Source organism: Homo sapiens, chromosome 1 (assembly GCF_000001405.40).
Source record: "Homo sapiens chromosome 1, GRCh38.p14 Primary Assembly".
NCBI lineage: Eukaryota > Metazoa > Chordata > Mammalia > Primates > Hominidae > Homo > Homo sapiens.
The window spans coordinates 248,464,413-248,488,170 of record NC_000001.11 but is presented as its reverse complement, the minus strand read 5'-3'; the positions used below and the strand labels follow the sequence as shown (position 1 = coordinate 248,488,170).

At 38.0% G+C, this 23,758-nt stretch overlaps 1 protein-coding gene and 2 long non-coding RNA genes across 4 annotated transcripts in view; 2 read left to right on the top strand and 1 right to left on the bottom strand.

Annotated features, from left to right (window-relative positions):
- LOC105373277 (uncharacterized) overlaps positions 1–3,550 on the top strand; it is a 52,164-nt gene extending 48,614 nt beyond the window's left edge. For both annotated transcript variants that reach the window (XR_002958498.2, XR_001738575.2), the window contains exon 3: positions 2,687–3,550. This is a non-coding gene — a long non-coding RNA (uncharacterized LOC105373277). The remainder of the gene's footprint in view (positions 1–2,686) is intronic.
- Positions 3,551–6,109: 2,559 nt separating this feature from the next.
- Positions 6,110–23,416, top strand: LOC105373279 (uncharacterized). Its single transcript, XR_007067006.1, has 3 exons — positions 6,110–6,244; positions 18,012–18,148; positions 19,487–23,416. It is a non-coding gene; the product is annotated as an uncharacterized LOC105373279 (long non-coding RNA).
- OR2T3 (olfactory receptor family 2 subfamily T member 3) lies at positions 13,864–14,820 on the bottom strand. Its single transcript, NM_001005495.1, has one exon. The coding sequence runs from the start codon at positions 14,818–14,820 to the stop codon at positions 13,864–13,866; it is 957 nt and encodes a 318-aa protein (NP_001005495.1).
- Positions 23,417–23,758: the final 342 nt, after the last annotated feature.

Here is a 23,758-nt window from a genome sequence, read left to right as displayed (position 1 = left end):
TCTTCAAAATACTCAGAGGTATATATGATATAAGAAAGATTTAGCAAGTAACTAAAGCGTAACTTGGAAAAAAAATTATGCCAGATGTTTGAACCTCCTCCTCCCATAGGATCAGGCCATGCTGTGAGGCTCTGTGATTGCGTGGAGCGAGCCTCACATTCTCATGAGCAGGGAAGGGTCCTCACACACAGCTGACCCTTTAGACATCGAGAGACGTGAAGTGAGGAGCCCACACACAGTAGACTCCAGCTATGGGTCCACCTTTTTCTCTGTCTGCCATTCCTTTCTCCAATCTACATCAAAAAGGATAAAAATCATGTTTGAGCTCAGGTGTGGTGAGGGTAAAATGAGGAAATGTAATGAAAGTGCTTAGAATAGTACAGTTTCCGATGAATAAACACATATACTCTTAGTGTAGATGTTAACTCTTTAAGCTAACTATTCTGCACAACCTAAGAGATTGTTGCTACTATTATTATATAAGATATATTACTTCCATTCTCCAGATTCAGTACCTATTCATACATTTAAGAAGCTGACTTTCAAAATAAAAATGGCAGAAGTTCTGCAAAATAAAGCATATGACCCACTTTAAAAAAAAACAATTTGGATTTTATATTTGTGTGTTTATGTGTAAATACTCTGGTTTTATATAAATATATATAATATATTTATGTAAACATACACAGGTGAATATATAACTATAACATTTCTTATTTTAACCCTGGTTATGCAGAGCTTTTTGGAGACTCCTATGTCCTTCCTGCCTAGTATGTGGTCCTCCAACCTCATCTCCTTAAAGCTCCTCTCATTTTAAAGCTCATTAAATCTCAGCGAGGAAGAACTAGAATTTGGAGGGTCACTGCTGTTTATCAGACAAGGCTTTAGTTGTTTTTGCAAACCTCATGTGCTTTATTACTTGCCACAATCAATCTTTCATACAAACTGAGAAGCAGGGAGGAAAATCAAACAACACTGAGGCATCTGACTTCAACTCACTGTTTCTCCCTCTACCGTGACACTCACAGCCTGTGTTATACTGACGATGAATCGCCTCTGACTTCAACTCACTGTTTCCTTCTCTATCATGATACTCACAGCCTCTGTGTTATATGCAGAAGATGAATCAAAGAAAAATTGAACTTGAGTGCACTTAAGGAGGTCACAGTCAGTCTATTCAGGGAACAACTATTATGTAAATGTGATTTGAAGTTGAATTTTTAAATAGTTACAAAATAAATAAGGGCAATAGACACAAAATATATCTGGCCGTTCTGAAATAATCCATAATAGCTGTTTCCACATTTTCTCTGAAAGAAATTAAAACTTTCCAACTTTTCAACTTCTGACATATTAAATGTTAAATTTTGAGAGCCCTTGCCAAGAATAAGGACATAATAACTCCTCTTTCTGGGAAGACTTTAGCTGTGATTATGATGCAGGGACATTTTGGAATGAATTTACAAGTTTCAAATATATTTTGTATTCTTGTAGTAATTACAAAAAGTATTTAAGACATTCAACTCACCAAAACTTCCAACATTCTGGGATGCTTCGGTGCTTTAATATAAATATCCAACAAATCTGAGACACATTTTATGTACATATGTATATATATGAATAGATGATGATGATAGATAGATAGATAGATAATGTGTATCAAACACTACCCCTACTGGCAAATGGTGGCTGAGATCTGTGTACAATTTAAAAACATTCCAATAAACTGCAAAACACACCTGCTGACCTCGTCCATTATTTGTGGCCAAAGTGAAGCAAGGACCAGAGGAGCGACCAGCACATGTGAAGACCTAAAAGGTGTTTGCTCAGTAAATTGAGGGGGAGCAGGAGGGCAGGGAGATGCGGGGTTTCCTAAGAAATCTCTGCTGCTCTTTAGGAAATGGCCATCACTATCATTAAGCCACTATCATTAAGCCACTATCAACAGCTCAACCAGGACACGGGACAGATAAGGGAACACTATCCACACACAGTGAACTGGCCCCCTGTTCATTCTTCTTCTGTACCCGCTTGTTTGACTTTCATGTAAATTGCTTAATGCATGTTTAACTTGGGGATTTATTGTAAGTATAAATGGAGTCAAATCTTTATTTGAAGCATACAGCATCCCAGGAATTGTTCTAATACTAATACTAAAATTAATACTTTACATTTCTTCTTTCCCAAGAGCCTATGAGTTACTTCCTATTATTTTCTCTCTTTACATATTAAAAAATGCAGGTTCTCAGGGTACCTGCCTAATATCACACACCTAACCTGAGATAGAACGCACGTCTCAGCCCGAGAGAGAGAGCCAGCGCACGTAACTCTGCCTGATTCCTCTCAGGGACACCATCCTCCCTCTGCAGTCTACACTTTGGATTTAGGCCACTGTCTGTGGGTTTCATCAAAGAAACATAAAATGATTGAGACATTGTTTCTAGTGTTTTGTAACCCTCAGAAATCATCCCCTCTCAAAAGAAAATCAGTCACTTTTCCTCTATAAAACTTCAGTGACAGGAAAATAAATACATCATTGTATGAAAATCTAAAACTATAGAATATATATTATTATGTCCATAAATAATTGGAAATTAAAAATCTATTTACCATTATGTCACAGTAAATAAGTGTTGTATAGAAGTTATAAGAAAGAATAACATTTGCTTTTCTCCATTAAAAACAGATGATAAAGAAAAAATGAGGAAATGCTGTGAAGAACTAATAGAACGTTTCAGAAGCAGAACAAGTCGAGAGCAGTGATGACCCTTTTCTTCCTGCTAGTACCTCCTGTCTGTCTGGCTGAACTCACCATCAGATGATGTCTTGAACCTCACCTAGATGGGCTGGTGGTGTGTGGCCAGGTTAAGAGCACCAACAGGAGTAAGAAAGTGACCTGCCTGGTTTTACCGTGTGCACTAGGGGAGGGGTTGAAAGCTTTCGGTTGATACATCACCTCTGGGAGTTGAAGAAGAATGCAATTAAGAGAGCTAAAGAAGTCAGTAGGTATCTCTCCTGAACAATTCTGGTTTTCTTCTAATAGCTTTTACAATTTTTACCTCTGTTATGAAATGCAAACTTTTAACCAATATTAGTAATAGTAATCTCAAATCTCATCATCATCAAAATCTTATTTATGAAATGTAGGAGTTAGTTCATATACAGCCTTAGCCTTTTCCACATTATAAAATATATTCCATATATATGTGTGATCTTCATTTAATATTCAAGTAAATGTTGTAAGATATTGTTATTTTTATTCTAACATTTCACAGGTATAGAATCTGAAACTCAGAGGTCAACTGATGTGTCAAAGATACCTCCACAAATCAGTACCTTGATTAAAACTAAAATTGGAGTCATCTTCATATCTTCATCTTTCTCCCTCTTCATTAGGACCGATTGTAGTCTGTTTCCCTCTCACTCACTTGCAATCTTTATTGCTTTAGTGTTGCATTTGATTTTTATCTTTGTTTTTGTTTTAAATACTGTCATTAAAGTCATAGAAAAATCTAAAGTAAAACTGGTTGAATAAAAATTTTAAAATCGACTCTAATGTAATAAACCAGACAAAAATGATACTTTACATGTTATATCTTCCCTTTAAACTACAAATATTCATTGAGTGTATACCCTGTATTAGGCTGTTGGAATAAAACAGGGAAGAAGACAGAAGAAACTGCACCGCCATCTTAGATCTTGCAGCCAAATTCCTCTGAACTTTTCTCTAAAGACGTGCTCTGGAAAAATGTTGATCATTTTCCTACATCATGGAGGTCTTTTCATGACCACCTTTGTCTAGACAATGTCCTGTTTTTAGGTGCACGTTTGAGGGCTGGAGTCTCTGACCCACAGTGCTGCAGCCTGCACGTGGTTTGTCCTGACTTCTTTGCTACTTCACTTTTCGTAAGGCTCTGAGAGTGCAGGCCCTTGTGGGTGGACACTGCAGGGTGAGAGGAAGAAGTAAACTACTTTTTTCCGTTTCTGATGGGGGTGTGGGTCAGCAGCTATAAGCAACAGGGACCATGGGGGGCCTCAGACTTCAGCACCTGAGAGGCAGTTTCAGTCGTATTGGGGAGATGCAGGCATCTGGGTTGCTGCACATCACCAGGGCAGGGTTCTCTCAGCAGCCCTGGAGTGCAGAGTTCCCATCAGCTCAGCAGTGAGGGGCACATGGGGCTCCAGTGGTGAGGACTCTTGGTCCTTGGATGACAACACTCCCCTGCCCACTTCTCCAGCCTTCCCTGTAACCCTTTGCCACCTCTAACCAATCTTCTGTGTTACATCTCTTCGGTTTGCAATATGTAGTGTTCGTATATGACTGGACAGTATCTACTGGAGTTAATATCTATCAGAGTAATTATATCACAATTGCAATCTTCTCCTAAGAGTGAATAGTGACATTAAAAATTTCAACATTATAAATTATGCAGAAATAAAACTAATTATACAAAAAATACACTCTGAATGTCAGTTTTTCCCTGAGACAATCTACCATTTGATATACGGTGATTCACACTTCTTAATATACAACATTGAATTACTTTTCCAAAAGCCTCTTCAAATTTTGCTGCAGAATTAAACTTCACTTGCACCAGCTCTGAATTATGTGTGCTTTTCCTTCTTGGTCAATTTCATAGGTGTATCATTATTTGTCTTTTTTAATTAATATGTTTATATAACTTTTCATGTTTATCCATGTAACTACTGCTTCTATTGAAATGTTTTCTTCATAAATATAAATGTGTTTTTGGTATGAAAATAATAACTGGCCAGATGCGGTGGCTCACACCTGTAATCCCAGCACTTTGAGAGGCCGAGGTGGGTGGATCACCTGGGGTCAGGAGTTCGGGACCAGCCTGGCCAGCATGGTGAAACCCCATCTCTACTAAAACTACAAAATTAGCTGGTGTGGTAGCACGTGCCTGTAATCCAAGCTACTTGGGAGGCTGAGACAGGAGACTCAGTCAAACCTAGGAGGCAGAAGTTGCAGTGAGCCAAGATCACGCTATTGCACTCCAGCCTGGGCAAAAAGAGTGAAACTCTGTCTCAAAAAGAAAAGAAAAAAAATAGTAACTCTTTGTGAATAGTATCAACTAAAATATTTTTATTTCAGTTTCATTCTGATATTTTGTGTCATCAGAATTTTTTAAAGTATTTTGTTTAATATATTAACTTTAATAATTTCGTTAACTGTTTTGTGCTTACAAAGTCTTTATGCATTTGGGGATTATGTAAAGCATCTACCTTTACACTTTTAATGAGTTTCAGAGGTTTTTTTGGTACCTTTGAGTTATAATACAAAAATAATTTATTTGGGTGTGATATGCAGTGAATTGCTAACATTATTGCTTTTAAGTTAAAATTAAATTCCAATGTTGAATGGTATTTTCTTTTATTCATTAATTTCAAAAATAATTAGTAACTGTTTGTTCCAGGCACTATCTAGGTTTATGATGTTTGAAACAAAGATTCTTCCCACACAGCATTTATATACTAGTGGTAAATACAGGCAATAAACTAATAAATATGTAATGAAATGTCAAGTATTAATAATCACAGTAAATAAAAAATAAAGGCAGAGAGATGAGATAGGAATGATTAGCGAATCTATTTAACACAGGCTAGTTAGGAGCCCTTTATTTAGAAGGTGAAATTTCATCAGATCCGTAAATGAAACAATGGAGTCACTCGTAAACAACGGGGCAGAGATGCTTTAAGCAGAGGAAACAGAGAAAGTTAAAAGCTGTGAGACTGAAAGTAACTTGCAACGTTTGAACAGCAGCAAGAAGATCTGTGGCCCCAGACTGAGGTGAGAAAGTTGGCAAAACAGAAAATGGGGTTAGAAGTGGAACCAAGGAACCGGTCCTATAAAATCATGATGGTCCTGAGAAGGACCAGGGACAGGCAGAGGTGTGTTTAAGAAAGGGAAGACAAAAGTATACACGGCACTCAAGAGAGTGCATGTGCACTTAGAAAAAGAAAGGAAGTCTCAGCCAATGTTTGGCCCCTGTCTTCTAAGAACTCTTCAGGAAGTTTACCAGGCATGCTCACAGTCTGTTCTGACTGTAGCCTGGCTTCCCCTCCCCACCCCACCCCACCATACAACTCCCAGCAACAGACAGCACTCAGAGAATCTCCAGAGAGTGAAGGGCCCCAAAGCTTTGACTCTCCTTGCTTCTCGGTGAATCCCACTCTGAGATATCACTGGAGGACGGACAGAGAGGAAAGACATTTGGAACAGGTATATGATTATCACTGAGAAGGCTTGAGCGAGAATGCAGGAAAGGGTTTGAGCTAGTCCTGATGAGACATATGGTGTCTGGGCAAGGGGTGTGGTGGAGGAGGTGAAGTTGGATTGCCGTTTATACACACAGGAATATTGGGGCTGGGCAGGTTGGCATGGAACGCTGAAACTGAAATTTGGGACTCCAGTTGCCCAGTACACATCTACATGAAGATGATGCAAGGCTAGTGTATACACGAATCCAGAGGTCATAAGAGAAGGCAGTCCTGAAATCATGGTTTTGAGAACCAGGGTGTGTGGAGGAAACAACGGGATCACACAAGGAAGGAGGGTCAACATCTTATACCAGAAGCCAGTGCAGGGGAGGCTAGGTTTCCACATTATCTCTTCTTTTCCATTGGTCTTTCACTGAATTCCTTTAAAATATCTTGTTTTATTGGGTGTCCCCTCATGATAATTTTAAACAACTAGTGAAACAATTCTTGTCTTCATGTATGTTCATGTTCAAAATAAGCAAGTTTTTAAGTTTGTTTTTCCTTTCAGTTGATCTATTTGGCTAGGTTCAAAAGTTCTAACTAATTGTATTGATTAGAATACAATGAAATACATTTGGGAAGAATTGATATTGTTAAAATGTTGCAGATTTTTATAAACAAGCACAATAGGTCTCACAGAGATATCCAAATACTTAGAGGTCGGGTCTGGATTTTAAAGTAATTTTAATAAAATTCTTCCACAATAATTGAGATTCTGAGATTTTTATAATTTAATTTTTTGGAGAATATTTTTCATTTAAAAATACTTAAAAAGCATTAACAGTGACAGAAAAGCTATTGATATATATTTTTTCAACATTAATATTTATGGTGGAAACCCTGCTTAAAGTTCTACTTTTTTTACATTTTAAATGTAAACTGAGAAAATATTTATAAAAACAAAAATAACATTTTAAGAATTAAACTATAAATATATAAAACATGTCAAACATTTTGTAAATGATCCTGAAGGCACCATCAGAGATATAAAGAAATGCAAGATACATGCACAGAACAAAGGAAGAGGGGCCACCACCTTTATGGACTGGAGGTCAGGATATCAAGCCAAAGAGGACCTCAAGTCCTGAAATCTAACGAAACTTGCCCTGCCAGGCTCAAGTTTGCTTTGGCTCTAAGACTTCTATTTAACTTCCAATTTCTCTTTTTCAGAATAGGAATGTCTATCCTATATGTGAGTGTCACTGTTGCATTTTGACAGCAGATAACTTGCTGTCTGGTGTCACAGGTTTTAAATTAACTTATTGAGTAAAATCTAAGTTGAATAATGTGCTAGAGAAATATTCTTAATACAAAGAGATTAAAAACATTAGCAAGATGGTTGAAGAGGAGCTCCTATAATCGTATCCCCTCAAAGCAGCAATAATATAGCAGCCTGTCTGGCACAAAAGTCCCTTGGTGGGAACTTCTGGATCTTGACAGGAAGTGTCAAAACTGGTGAATCCCAACACTGAAGAGAGCTATTTTGAGAAGGCAGGGCCACACCCAGGTGGCAGGCTCACTGACTGTGGTCCTGGCTACAGACACAGAATTAACATCCCTCTGGACTCAGCTAGTGCCCTGTTTGGCATTGGTCCTGCCACCTGAACCATCTGCCAAGGGGCCCAGGGGCACTCACATTGACCAGTACCCTCAAGTCACAGGCCTGCTAACCTTAGTTCTAGCTCTGAACCCTGAAGCAGTCCATGACCCAGCTCCAGTCCCCCTCAGCCATGGTCTGGGAATAGACCTTCCTGCACAGAGACCTGCCAGGAGGCAACCCTGTTCATGTGCCTAGAGGCAGGCTCTCAAAACTACGTCCGACTGCCAATCTTGAAGCAGCTCTGTTACTTGGCACCCTTTTCCATTGTTCAAAAGCAGTCCTGCCCACTCAGTGACCTCCTGGGTGACACATTGATCGATGCCCCTGTAAACAAGACTGCTGACATCAGTCAGCTGGAGATCCTGAATCAGCCCTCTTATCCAGCTCCAGCTTCCATTCAACCACAGCTTGGGGATATCTTATATCTTATATTTACAGGGACTATGCAGGAGGTACACCCATCCATGCAGGACAGAAGACCTCAGACTCAGCTGTGGTCCATGACACAGCCCTGAGACTCAGTTCCAGGTCCTCTCAACTGTGGTCTGGGGACAATCCTTCTTGCCCAGAGACTTTCCCACCAATATAATGGGAGTCCTTCAAGGGACTCAATAGAATCCACACCCATTTCTGTACGTGGTAACAGGCATGCCATCTACAGAACCAAATGTGAACCCTGAAGCAGAGTGTCCTAGCGATAGCCCTATTGACCAAGGTACTAGAGGCAGTCTTCTCTACCAAGAGACCAGACAGGATTTATACTCAACTCGACTTCTGGTAACAAGCTTGCCAACTAAAAATTCTGCTGTAGACTCAGGAGTAGCCACATGACATGGCTCTAACCCTGCTCAACTGCAGTCCTGGAGGTAATTCTTATTAGCCTAGAGAAATGACAGGAGAATGTCTTTACCTACTGAAACCAGTCTATGCAGACCAGAAGAGCTGTTTGCAACTTCAAATGTGCACACATCAATGCATAGCTACTTGAGTCACAAAAAAATCAGGCAAATGTGACACCAAAGTAATAAATACCACCAAAGTAATAAAGCTTCATTAAGCAACCCCAAGGAAATGGAAATCTATGAATTGCCTAAGAATTTTAAAATCATATTAAATAGGATCAAAGAGCTTCAAAATAACAGAGATCTAAAACTAATAAAAAAATGCATAAACAAAATGAGAAATATAATAAAGACATTGACATCAAAAAAGGAAAGAATTCTTGTGCTGAGAAGATTTGTAGTCAAATTTGGAACACTCTAGTACTGTAATGGAGGTGTGTAAATCTCGTTAACTTTAGTGTAAAGCTTGTAAAATATTCTGAATACAATTATGGAAGTGAAAAGGTCAACAGAGTACTTTGACAACATATTTCATCATACAGTGAAAGGAGGCAATGAACTTGAATTTAGATCATACAGTTAGAGGAACAAAAAAAATAAAATGTAGAAGCATCTGGGAACTATAAGACAACATCAAGCAAATATATATGTGTATTATGACATTCACAGAAGGAGAAAAAAACAAAGCTAAAATGACAACATTTCCTAAATTTGTGAGTGATAGAGACATGCAGATTCATAAAGTTCAAAGGAACCCAAGCAAGAACAAACCAAAACATTATACCTGAGACATATTATGATCAGTTTGTCAAAAGTCAAAGACAATTCTATAATTTGGAAAAATATGGATGAGCCCAGAGGACAATATTTTAAATAAAATAAGCCTGGTATAGGACAAATATTGCACAATTTCATTTATATGTGAAGTGTCCAATAGTCAAACACATAGAAACAAAGAGTAAAATGGTGGTTACCAGAGTTTGGAGTGAGGAAGGAAAAGAGAAGATGTGGGTCAAAGGATACAAAATTTTATTTAAGCAGGAGAAATAAGTTCAGGAGGTTTATGGTACATCATGCTGACTACAGTTTCAACAATTATATACTTGAAAATTGCTAAGAAAGTAGGTATAAGAGTACTCAGCACATGAAATGATTACTTGAACCCAGGAGGCGGAGGTTGCAGTGAGCCGAGGTCATGCCACTGCACTCCAGCCTGGGCAACAGAGTAAGACTTCGTCTAAAAAAAAAAAAAAAAAAAAAAAAAAAATCTCCCAAGAAAAGCCTAGGACTAGAAGACTTCATGGTGAATTCATCCAAGCACTTAAAGAACTAACACATATCCTCCTCTGATTTTTTCAAAACATTGAAGGGCAAAAACACTTCCAAATTCATTTACTGAAGCCAACATTACCTTTAAACCAAAGCCAGATAAGAACACTAACTCCCAAAATATTATAGGTCAATATTCCTGAAAAACAGCTTTCATAATTTTTGGTAAAAACTAACAAAATACTAACAAGCCAAATTAAGCAGTGCATTAAAAGGATACTTCACCATAATCAAGTGGGATTATTCCTAGGATGTATAAACCAAAAGTATGTGAGACAGGTCTCAATCAGATTGAAAGTTTATTTCACCAAGGTAAAGGACATGCTTGGAAAAAAGAACACAATTACAGAAACAGTCTGTGGTCTGTGCTTTTCTTTAAAGATAATTTTGAGGACTTTAATATTTAAAGGGGAAAGCAGGCTAGAGGGGAAAGAGGGAGAGTATGATAATCCACAGGTTGCAAGAAGAAAAGAAGCAAAGAAGCAGGTAGGTGAATAGTCATTTATGTATTCCTTTCACACTCAGTAGAAGGATCATCGCTTTACGTCAGGTAAGGAGAATGTGGAGTTACTGCCTGTTACTCTAACCTTTCATCTGTAGTTAACTGATTAGGAACAAAAAGAAAACAAAAACCAAAGGAAATGCAGTTTCTTGCATAACTCAGCTTTCAGCTTAGTATCTTTTTTCCTTTTGGCATAGTAAATTGGGGTCCCAAGTTTTTTTCCCACAGATGCAAAGATGGTTCAACATACACCAATCAATAAATATGATATGCCACATTAACAGAATAAATGACAAAAACAATTGTGCATCTCAATAGACATAGAAAGAGCATTGGATAAAATTCGACATCTTTTCATGATGAGAACTCAGCAGATTTGTTATAGAAGGAATGTGCCTTTACATAATAAATCTCACAGCTAAATCATACTCGATGGAGAGAAAGATTTTCCGCTAAGATCAGGAACAAGACAAGAGTGCTCACTCTCACTGCTTCTATTCAACATAATACCAGAAACTAGCCAGAGCAATTAGGCAATAAAAAGAAAGAAAAGGCTTTCAAATCAGAGGACGTTAAATTATCTTGCCATCTGTTTGCAGATGACATGATTTTACATATAAAAAACTCAAGACTCCAGCAAAATCCCATCAGAGTTAAAGAATTCAAGAAACTTGCAGGATACAAAATAAACATATATAAATGAGTTGTATTTCTATACACCAAAAAGGAACCATCCAAATATGTAATTAAGAAAAGAATACCATTCCCAATACCATCCAATAGAATAAAATACATAGGAATAAATACAGCTGAGGGAGTGAAAGATCTGTTCACTAAAGAGGAGATAAATAAGTGGGAAGATATCTCATGTTAATGGGTTAGAATAACTAATATTCTTTAAATGTCCATATTACTCCAGAAAATGTCTGATTCAGTATAACCCCAACTAAAATCCACAGGCATTTTTTACATAAATAGAATAAAACCATTCTAGAAATTTTGTGAATGCACAAAAATATCAAATAGCCAAAGCAATATTGATAAAAAGAACAAAGCTGGAGGCTTCAGACTCCGATTTCAAACTATATTACAAATTATAGAAATAAAGCCATGCTTATATGGTCAATTAGTCTTTGATGAGGGTGCCAAAAATGCAGCATGAAGAAAGGATAGTCTGTTCAATAAATGGCATTGGGAAAACCAGATACATACATGCAGAGGAACGAAATTGGACTCTTATCCTACACTATTCCCCCAAAACCAAATCTAAATGGATCGAAGACTTAAATGGAAGACCTGGACTTGTAAAAGTCCTAGATGATGACATAGGGAAACAGCTCTTTGACATTGATCTTGGCCGTGATATTTTTGATATGACACAAAAATTAAGGCAACAAAAGCAAAATAAGCAAGTAGGACTGCATCAACATGCAAAAACTTTTGCACAGAAAAGGAAACAATAAAATGAAAAGGTAATCTCTGCAATGGGAGAACATATCTGCAAACCATATTTTGGATAAGGAGTTAGCATCCAAAATATAAAAGAAACTGACAAAATCATTAGCAAATATCAAATTACCCAACTTAAAAATGGTAAAGACAGTGTGAATAGGCATTTTTCCAAAGAGGCAATACAAATAGCCAACAGGTGAATGAAAAGATGTTCAACATCACTAATCATCAGGGCCACACAAATCAAAACCACAATGAGATATCAGCTCACACCTGCTAGGATGGCTATTACCAGGCAATACATAGCAAGTGCTGTCAAGTGTGTGTAGGAAATGGAACACTTGTACATGTGCATTGCTGGTAGAAACGTAAGTTGCAACAGCCTGTGTTGAAAGCTGTATGACAGTTCTATAAAGATTAAAAATAGAGCTACTCTATAATTCAGCAATCCCACTCTGTACACCTTCCTGAGGTAAATAATTATATAAATAATATAATGACAACATAAGAACATTGTTAAATTAGTCATCTGTGGTGTCCATTTGAGCAGTTTTGCCCATTTATTTAATTACAGCAATTTCTGAAACCAAATTTTACCTACCTCTAACAACCCCCTCTTACAAGTGATATTTCTGCACCACTTGGTGGAATTTACTTCCAAATTCAGATCTCTGTACACAAACTCAGACAAACTCCTTTCATGCACTGCAGGAATAATTTTCAGTGAGAAGCAAAAGTGTTCGGTCGATGTGTCATGTAAAGCAAGTACTTGTCATTTCTCTCGAAGATGCGATAGGCATGGGAACACCTGGCTTCCATTCATTGTCGGTAAATCAGGCAAGGTCAGGGCTGTGCCAAGGGGAAGTAAATTAACAGCTTCACGATACAGCTCGAGATTCAGCTTCTTGCATATTAGAACAAATGTATTTCTTTCCTAATTTCTCACGTTCCAGAAATACTAGACCCATGAATTATTTTGTTAATGAAAATGATAGTGATCTGATGCTCATAGATTTACAGAAGTTACCTTTGTAGCATGATATACATCTGGCAAACTAAAGGTTAGTGACAAGTTTATAACCATTTTGCTGGTTTTCCCAGTTTCAGAAGAAACATGCTGAGGGGGTTAAGCTTTCCTAAGTCTCCATTATCGCACGCGACTGTTATGATATTTATTGTAAACATAGTAGACCATTGTCTGGAATAGACTAAATCCTAAAGAAACTAAATCTGGAACTACTTTTATTTACATACTATGAAATAGATGAACCTATTCTTTGAATTTTGAAATGGATTCATTTTTGGTTTAGGTGGTTCCAATGGCCAATGCTAAAACTACTGGTGTTTACACTACAAAGTTCACTTCAGCCTTTGGAGAAAATGCGTTTCTTTGTACTTACTGAGATACAATAGCAGAAACACTGACCCCAGTGGCTGCCAATGTGAACCGAGGTTTACAATGTATTGCAAAGGGAGGGAGCAGCCAATACTCCTCCTCTAGGGCTCTGCTAGGATTCTAAGTCTTTACAATGAGTCTCTTCGAGGGGTAAAGTGTTTAAGACCAAGTCTCATACTAAAATGCTCAATGAACCTGGGATGGGAGATAAGATAAAAGGCACTCTATAAGGTCTTTCATAGGTCAGCTACTGCAGTGCAGTTAAAAACACTCTAAAGATATTAAATCTAATGAGATAAATGGGAGCAATAAGCAGTATGGAGGGAAAACGCCACGTATAAGAAAGAAGGAAAATATGAGTGGGCTTTGTGCTGGGGACCCGGAGACCTGAGGGCAAAAGAGAGGAGAGATAGGGAGTAACGGAATTATAGAAAGAGGAGGGGACAATGCTTGCCCTTTACTACTTTTCTTGGTTCATTCTTGACTGCATCATGCTCCTCAGAGCCCTGGTGACATCTTTGTTGCGGAGACTGTAAATGAGGGGGTTCAGCACAGGAGTGAAGATGGTGTAAAAGGCAGACACCATCATGTCCTGCTCAGCTGTGTGGTAGGAACTCGGGAGCATGTAGGTGTAGAAGGAAGCACCGAAGAGCAGCAGCACTATGATCATGTGGGAGGAGCAGGTGGCCAAGGCCTTCCTGTGGCCGGCGGCAGAATTCATCCTGTGGATGAGATGCAGGATGAGGGTGTATGAGCTGGAGATGACCATGATGGGGGCGAGAAGCATGAGGATGCAGCACAGGTACATGAGCGTCTTATAGAGGGAGACGTCAGAGCAGGAGAGCTTCAGCAGGGCAGGAGTCTCACAGAAAAAACTCAGGATTTTCCTAGACTGGCAAAAGGGGAAGCTCATGGTAATGGGGGTGAGCAACAAACCATCAACCATTCCCAAAACCCAGCAGGCTGACACCAGGAGCTGGCACACCCTCTGGTTCATCAGCAGTGGGTAATGGAGAGGTCTGCAAACAGCAGCATATCGGTCATAGGCCATGGCAGCCAGGAGGAAAACCTCAGCTCCAGCCAGGGTCAGGTAGAAGAACATCTGGATCCCACAGCCTGACGGGGAAATGGTATCATCTCCAGTGACCTGGCCCACAAGCATCTTGGGCACAGTCACGCATAGGTACATGAGATCCATGAGCGCGAGCTGGCTGATGAAGAAGTACATGGGGGTGTGGAGGCGGGGCTCTGAGTGGATGAGGAGGATGAGGAGGGCATTCCCAGTGAGGGCCATCAAGAAAAGAAGGAAGGTCACGGTGTAGAGGAGGGCAGCATGCTTGCTCTCAGCAAAGAGTCCCGTGAGGGTGAAATCAGTGCTTGCTGTTTGATTCTGAGAAGTCTGATTCCCTGAGCACATGACTGGCTCAGTTTCCCCCTGAGGAAAAAAAAGTCATTAATTTTAAATCTTTCCTATGTACATGGCTTTCCTGACCTTTTTCTGGTAAGACATGTGCTTTGAATTATTTTTCTAAATATTGATTTAAACTGACATAAAATCATAAGTTCAAATCTTAGGTCAAGTTGTATCTTGGCCACAAGCTAAAGTGAACTACGAAACAGATCTGGGGAGGTGACTATTCATGAGCTAAGTCAAGAGTGAAGACAGGTACACTCTATGTCTTATTTCCCCCCAGAATTAAGAACACAAGTATACTGGCCTTGTGGGATGGTTAGAGACTGAAGTAGGGAATGCACGTTAGGTCTGTAACACAGTGTTAGTGTTGGGTTGAAATTTTCACTACTTTTTGGATACAGTAGCTCATCCAGGACTCAGTGATGGAAATCACGGCTGATAAGGTTAATATTAATATTGTTAATGGTACAAATATCATAACTAATACCATGAAATAATCTGAAAACTGGAAATCTCCTTAAATTTCTTCTACCATTATATATCTCCATTTAAGTCCACTTTCCTCACGAAAACTTTTCAATTTATTCTGCTATTCCTCACAAGGTTGCATTCCATAAGTAGTGCTGACTGGGGCAGAGGAGCAGAGGGAGAGTCCCGCCTGCCTGAGGAGAGTAGCTTGGGGTGCAGAACTAGTGCCGAGCAGGAGAGCAGCAGTAGGCACAGTGAGCCCTCTCCCAGTCCCCAGTGAAATCTAAGGCATTTAATTTATTAACTGTCAGGCAGAGAAATATTTTTACAAGAAATCACAGCAATAAATGCTGCAGATGCCCTAAATATCAAGTATTTAGTTGAAATATAAACAAAATATTTATTTTCATTTTGCTGATACCATTTATCCCCCAAAAATCATGCCTAAAATGTCCAAAATTCCGTTCATAGTGATTGAAAAATGAAGTTAAAGCACATGAGGCAGTTGTGTTGAATCTTTCATAAAACCGCAGCCCTGCAACCAAGCCTAGGGATCCTCTTGTCCTGCATCTCCTTTGCATAACAAACTAATCACCATCCCCTCCCATAAATTCATAGCTTTGCTCAGTGACTGCTTTGTCTGAATATTTCAGTTTTAATTTTCCAGTTGCATTGTTTTAATCATGCTTGATACAATTGTCTCAAAGTTAAAAAGCCCACTAACTTCTAGACTAATGAAGAGTCAGGAGCTCCATGACTGAGGTTTGGTCATCCTCAGGGTTGCTGTACTGCAGGTTAGAGAAATAATGCTGAGGAAAAAACTAATAGTGACTGAGGCATGTGGAAATGCAAAGTGAAATACAACGCACTGTTCCTAGGGCAAAAAAACAAAAAAACAAAACAAAAACAAAGCACACACACAAAACAAGAGACAAAACAAAAAAAAACCCTGGGACTTCAGGAAACCTAAAGTCAGAATTATGAAGAGCTAGCAACAAGAGTCAGGTATCTTTGTTCCTTACTTATCCCCTTTATAAAGCACTGAAGAGACAGGTCATCAAGACACCTTTCAACAAAGAGACGAACACGGCACATAGAGCACAAACCTTTTGCTCCATCTTTTCTGTTCCATCAGACAATAAATCTAAGCCACGCCAGCTCAGTGAAGCTGCTTTCACCATTCTAAGGCCAAAGCAAAGGGGTTTAAATTCAGAATGAAAATGAGAAAATTACATCGTCAGTTTCTTCACATTAGGGAATTGAGATGAGTGTTTATTGCTTAATTCTTTGCCTTGTTTTCCTTTTTTTTTTTTTTTTTCCTTCTTATTCATCTTTCCTGTACTTGGCATTGTCTCTTTCCTGGAGCTTCTATTTTCTTTAAGACCCTCTCAGAATCCACTATTTTGGTATTTTTGTTTTCTTTTGCTATTTGTTTTTGATGGTTATATTCTAACTTTCCACTCACGGTCCACGTGGGAATTAAACATGTTTTTCATTTATGCGATGCATCTATCCAAAAGCAAATCCATCTTTCTCATGACGTTGCACATTTTTTAAACAACTTCATTTTTCTAGTTTAAAATTATATTTTCATATCAGACATTTAAAATAAGCTCTCTTTGTAAAAGCAAATCTGAATTTCACAAAGGGAGGATCATGCAAAACCAGTGTCAGAAGTCTGTAAACTAAATTTAAAATCCTAAGACCCCTAATCAACTGAACAGACCCCCTCTAGGCCACGAGAATCTCAGGAAAGCTGAAAAGCTTAATTGCAGGACATAAGAAGGGAGACACACTTCATTACACCCATCTTTTGGAATTTAGGCACAACTGACCAGCAATAACATTGAAATAGAGTTCCTAAGACTGACAAAACAGACTGAGTGGCAATAAGATACCAAATTCCAACCTGACTCTGGTATAGCATCACATGACAGATAGCAGACCCTGAGGAAAATCAAAATATTCCACCCCAAAGTATGTATTTGACATATTTTGAAATGGCCCTACAAAGCCATCTTTCGTGGGGAAAAGTTGCATCTGTAGACACTCTCCATTAACACAGCTGGGGCTTTCCCAGATTCAGGAGAAAATATCGGAGTCTGACAACCTTTTAGGTTCTAAAACATTTACCATTTATTATATTTGCTTCCAATTAATTGTGTAATCTTAGTCAAGACACTAAAAGCTCTGAGTGTCACTTTCTCAGAATCAAAAGGAGTGTTATGTACTTGCTATGCTTCTGTGACTCTTAAGACATCTATGAATCTGATGACCGAATGTGGTCTAAGATTTCTCCATGACAGGGTGACCTTCTCCCACATCGCCCCTCTCCTTAAAGGCTCAGAGACTTCCCTTGAAATATTAGTCTCATCGAATTTAGATTATATAATTTGGGAATGAAAGAGAATGGGAAAAGGGAGCCACTTTTCTCAGTGCCTGCAAGGTTCCGAGACTTTGCTGAGTCTTTCTAGCATGACAAACGTACAAGTACTGAGTAGTGTATTCATCCCTGTGTACAGTCATCCCTCACTATCTGTCCTCAGTACCAGGACATCGTGAAAATACCAAAATCCATGATGCTAAAGACCCTAATATGAAATGGCAGAGTATTTCTATATAACCTACACAAATCTTCCCGTATGCTTGAAATCATGTCTAGATTACTTATAACAACTAATGCAATATGAATGCTATGTAAATAGCTGTTATACTATATTTTTTAGGAAATAATGACAAGGAAAAAAGTCTGGAGGATGGAGCAAGATGGCAGAATAGAAGGTTCCACTGATCATCCCCCTGCAAGAACACCAATTTAAAAACTATCTACACAAAAAACACCTTCTCAAGAACCAAAACTCAGGTGAGCACTCACAGTACATGGAGTTAAATTCATATTTCTGAATGAGGCATTGAAGAAGTTGGAAAAACAGTATTGCATCACTGACACTACCACCCCTTCATCCCCCAGCAGCGGTGGTGTGGTATGGAGAGCTTCTCTGTGCACTAAGGAGAGGGAGAGCCAGCAATTCTAAGACACTGAGCTCAGCGATGCCCTTCTTATAGCAGAAAGAAGACCCAGACCAAATTCAGCTGACACCCACCATGAAGGGCGCATTTAAACCAGCCATTGCTGGAAGGGAATTGCGAATCCCAGTGTTTGGAACTTGAGTTACCCAAGCCTCACCATGAAGGGCTAAAGTGGCTCTGGAGCCACAGACAAACCTGAAGGGCAGTCTAGGCCACAAGAGCTGCAAATCCTAATGCTAATCTGGGCCCAGAGCCAGTGGACTCGGGGGACACATGACCTGTTAAAACACCAGCCAGGGCAGCTAAACTCATCCCCTAACCTCAGCCTCCACGGCTTGTGGCTCCAAAAGAGGCCTCTTTCCTCTGCTTTAGGAGAGGAGAGGGAAGAGTGAGGAGGACTTTGTCTTGCATCTTGGATACCAGCTCAGCCACATCAGGGTTGGATACCAGCTAGAGTCATGAGGGCCTTGGGTGAAACTCTGAGGCATGCTGGCTCCGGGTGAGACTCAGCATATTACCAGCTATGGTGGCTATGGGGCAAGACTCCTTCTGCTTGAGGAAAGTGGACAGAAAATTAAAGAAAATTAAGAGAGACTTAGTCTTGCACTTTAGTGCAACTATTGTTACCATTGTTATTCAACATATTACTGGAAGTTCTAGCTAGAGCAATCAGACAAGAGAAACAAATATAAATAAATCTATCTATATGTAAATATATCTATATATATAGATAGATATAGATATAGAGATATAGATATAGCATCAAATTTCAAAGAAAAGTAAAATTATCTTCGTTCACAGATGATAGGACCTTATACTTGGAAAAACCTAAAGTCTCCCCAAAAACCTATTAGAACTAATAAATTCAGGAAAGTTGCAGGATACAAGGCAGATTTCTATATGTCAATAGCAAATAGATTAAAACAAATTTAAAAAGTAATCTCATTTATGATAGCCACAAATAAAATTAAATAGGAATTAACCAAAGAAGTGAAATAGTTCTCTAATGATAAACTATAAAGCATTAATAATTGAAGAGGACACTAAAAATGAAAACATATTCCAGATTCATGAACCAAAAGAATCAATATTGTTAAAATATCCATAGTACTCAAAGCAATCTGTAGATTCAATGTTATCCTTATCAAAATACCAATGACATTTCTTACAGATATAGAAGACACTATCCTAACATTTGTATGAAAGCACAAAACACCCAGAAGAGCCAAAATTATTCTAAGCAAAACCACCAACCAACCAACCCACCAAAACTGGAGGAATCCCATTGCCTGACTTCAAATTATACTACAACAGAGCTACCATAACCAAAACAGCATGGTTCTGGCATAAACACAGATACATAGACCAATAAAACCGAATACTCAGAAACAAATCCACATACCTACAGTGAACTCATTTTCTACAAAGGTGCAAGGAACATACACCAGGGAAAAGATCGTCTCTTCAATAAGCTGTACTGGGAAAAGTGGATATCTATATGAAGAAAAATGAAACTAGTCCCGTCTCTCGCCATATACAAAGATATAGTCAAAATGGACTAAAGACTTTAAGAACTCAAACTATGAAACTACCAGAAGAAAACGTTGGAGAAAATCTCCAGGATATTTGTCTGGGCAAATATTTCTTGAGTAATACTCCATAACACAGGCAACCAAAGCAAACATGGACAAAGGAGAGCACATTATGTTAAAAAGCTTCTGCACAGTGAAGGAAATAAATCAACGAAGAGACATCCCACAAAATGGAAGAAAATGTTTTCAAACTACACACCTGACAAGGAATTAATAACCACAATACATAGGGAGCTCAAATAAATCTATAGGAAAAAATCTAATAATCTGATTTATATATTGATAAAAGATTGAATAGACATTTCTCAAAAGACAACATACAAATCAAAAACAGGCACATAAAAAGTGCTCAACATTGATCAGAGAAATGCTGATCAAAGCTACAATGAGATACCATCTCATCCCAATTAAAATGGCTCTTATACAAAAGACATGCAAAAATAAATGCTGGTGAGGACATGGAGAAAAGGGAACCCTCATAAACTCTGTGGGAATGTGAAGTTGCATTTAAAGTTGTATTTAAAGGTGCAACAGAGAACAGTTTGGAGGTTCCTCGAAAAAACTAAGAATAGAGCTAACGTATCATCCAGCAATCCCGCTGCTGGGTATATACCCAAAAGAAAAGAAATCAATATACTGAAAAGACATCTACACTTCCATGTTTGTTGCAGCTCTGTTCACAATAGCTAAAATTTGGAAGCAACCTATGTGTCCATCAACAGATGAATGGGTAAAGAAAATGTGGTACTTATACATGATAGGTACTATATAGCCACAAAACATAATGAGATCCTGTCATTTGCAACAACATAGATGGAACTGGAGGCCATTATGCTAAGTCAAATAAGCCAGGCACAGAAAGACAAACATTGCATGTTCTCAGTTATTTCTGGCACCTTAAAATCGAAACAACTGGACTCATGGAGATATAAATTAGAAATATGCTTAGCAGATACTGGGAAGGGTACTGGGGGTGGTGAAGGGGTAGGTGGGGATGGTTAATGGATACAACAAATTTGTTAGAATGAATAAGTACTAGCATAATAGACTGACATCGTCAATAACAATTTAATTGTACACTTAAAAATAACTAAAAGGGTATAATAAAATTATAACACAAAAGATAAATGCTTGAGAGGATACTCCATTTTTCATCATGCATTTATTATGCATTGCATTCCTGTATCAAAACATCTCATGTACCCCATAAATGTATACACCTATGTCACAACAAAAATAAAATTTAGAAAAGTCTGTACCAATGTGACCATGATAAGCCTAATTATATTTTCAATCCATGATTGGTTAAGTCCATGATTGGTTGAATCCTCAGATGCAGAATCCAACTCATAAGCCCAACTGCAGAAGCAGATACTGACACCAGGAGACAGAATGAGCATATTCTGTCCTTGGCTGGTACCCACCCTGTCTTCCAACATTGCTTCTTCCAATATCTCAGAGTATCTTTAAACCACACACTTTCATATTCCTTCATAACTTCTCGTATCCTGCTTCTTTGCTGTGAATTTACCAAATGCATTTCTATATAAACTACCAGTCATAAATGCTCAGATAATATGACAATTTCTTTATGAAGGCGTGCTCTACTCAATCAGTGAGAACTCTCACACCTCAGACATCACAATCCTTCTTTTGTACTCTTCACACAAGCTTCAACTCACTCTTGTATTTTAATTATTCCTAAGTTTCAATGAAAATTCCACATGAATATGTATAATTAAAAATTAATGGGCTATCCAAATGCTGTATAGGTATGAAAGTTAGAAATCTAAATAAGCATTTAAAAATGGCAGGTGGAGGGTTATTAATATGTAAAATTGCAAAATTCTAGATACATTTTAGGTACTGCTATGAAATCCTTAATGAGCTGTACACTTATTTTTTTTATGGATATACTTCAATAGTTGTACAAGCTTCATGTATAGCCACAAATATAAACATATTCTAGAACATAAAATGACAAAATGGTCAACAAAGTTATCCATCATCTTAGGTCCTTGAGGGACTTTTGATGAGTGGACCCCGAGTACCATCTGACAGATTTACAATGTGAACATCACATAAACAATGTTTTTATGCAGCTTGAGATGTTACTATGGCATTACCTTGTGCATTCTGACTGATCCATAATTATATTTAAAATTTGCAACAGTGTTCCCTATTTTATGTTCATAACATATCATCATCTGGCATGACCACATCGTATGTTTTACCTATTCACTGTTTGGGTTTTTGTTATTGCACAAGGAGACCAAAATATATTTATTTTCTTCTCTGTTGTTTTCTAACATTAGCACTATGCCTGGCATATATCACTTTTGCACCAACATAATAGTAAAAATTGATTATTTGTTAAATAAATGAAGAAGGAAAAATGATGGTTAGAGAGATTAGTGCAACTCCTTTAGAGATGAATTCAGTAATATCTCATAACATTGAAGATGTTCTTTCTTCACTACCTAAGACTTCCAAGGAGATTATACAAGGATAGATACTCTTACATTATAAAGCATGAAAAAGTGGTAAACCTAAATATTAATATAAAGAAAATGCACACATGATCAATATTAATACCAATTTATTGTGAACATTTCAATTAGTAAAGTTGAAGGAAAATATGTTGCAGAATGATCAGTGTGTTACCATTTAACAAATACATCCTACTAAAATATTACATTTGGACACATATCTGCAATAAAAATATTAAAAATTGATAGGGAAGATACACACCTGTTTAAAAAAATTGGTCTGAGGACACTAAGAGAGGGAATTCAAGAGAGCACAGATAAGACTTTGATGTATCTGTAAAATATATACCGCCCTGTTTTTGAGTCAGGGTCTTGCTTTGTCAACCCAGGCTGGAGTGCAGTTTCGCAATTGTGGCTCACTGCAGCTTCAATCTCCCGGGCTCAAGCGATCCTCTCACCTCAGCCTCCTGAGTAGCTAGGACTATAGACACGTGCCACTATGCCTCCCTGATTTTTTAAAATTTAATTTTTGGAGAGATGAGGTCTCACTATGTTACCCAGGCTGGTCTCAAATACCCAGGCTAAAGCAATCCTTCCACCTCAGCCTTCCAAAGTGTTGGGATTATAGGCATAAGCTACTGCCCCTGGATGATATATATATGATATTTATTTATATTTTTTATATCAATAGGTTTTTGGGGAACCGGTGGTGTTTGGTTACATTAATAAGTTCTTTCATGGCAATTTGAGAATTTGGTGCACTCATCACCCAAGTAGTGTACACTGTACCTGATGTGTAGTCTTTTATCCCTCACCTGCTTCCACCCTTTCCCCCAAGTCCCCAAAGTCTATTGTATCATTATTATCCCTTTGCATCCTCATAGCTTACCTCCCACGTGTGAGTGAGAACATACAATGTTTGGTTTTTCATTCCTGAGTTGCTTCACTTAGAATAACGGTCTCTAATTCCATCCAGTTTGCTGCAAATGCCATTATTTCATTCCTTTTCATGGTTAAGTAGCATTCATCTATATACATATGAAGATATATGAGTATATATGAATATATGAGTATATATGAATATGAGTATATATGAATATATGAGTATATATGAATATATGAGTATATGTGTGAATATATGAATATATATGAATATATGAGTATATGTGTGAATATATGAATATATATGATTTTATCTACTCATTGATTGATGATCATTTGGGCTGCTTCCATATTTTTGCAATTGTGAAGTGTGGTGCTGTGAACATGTGTGCAAGTATCTTTTTCGTGTAATGATTTATTTTCCTTTGGGTAGATACCCAGTAGTGGGATTGCTGGATCAAATGGTAGATATACTTTTAG

Excerpts from the sequence above, each read along its gene's own strand:
- OR2T3 (NM_001005495.1), bottom strand. The coding sequence starts at position 14,820 with ATGTGCTCAGGGAATCAGACTTCTCAGAATCAAACAGCAAGCACTGAT.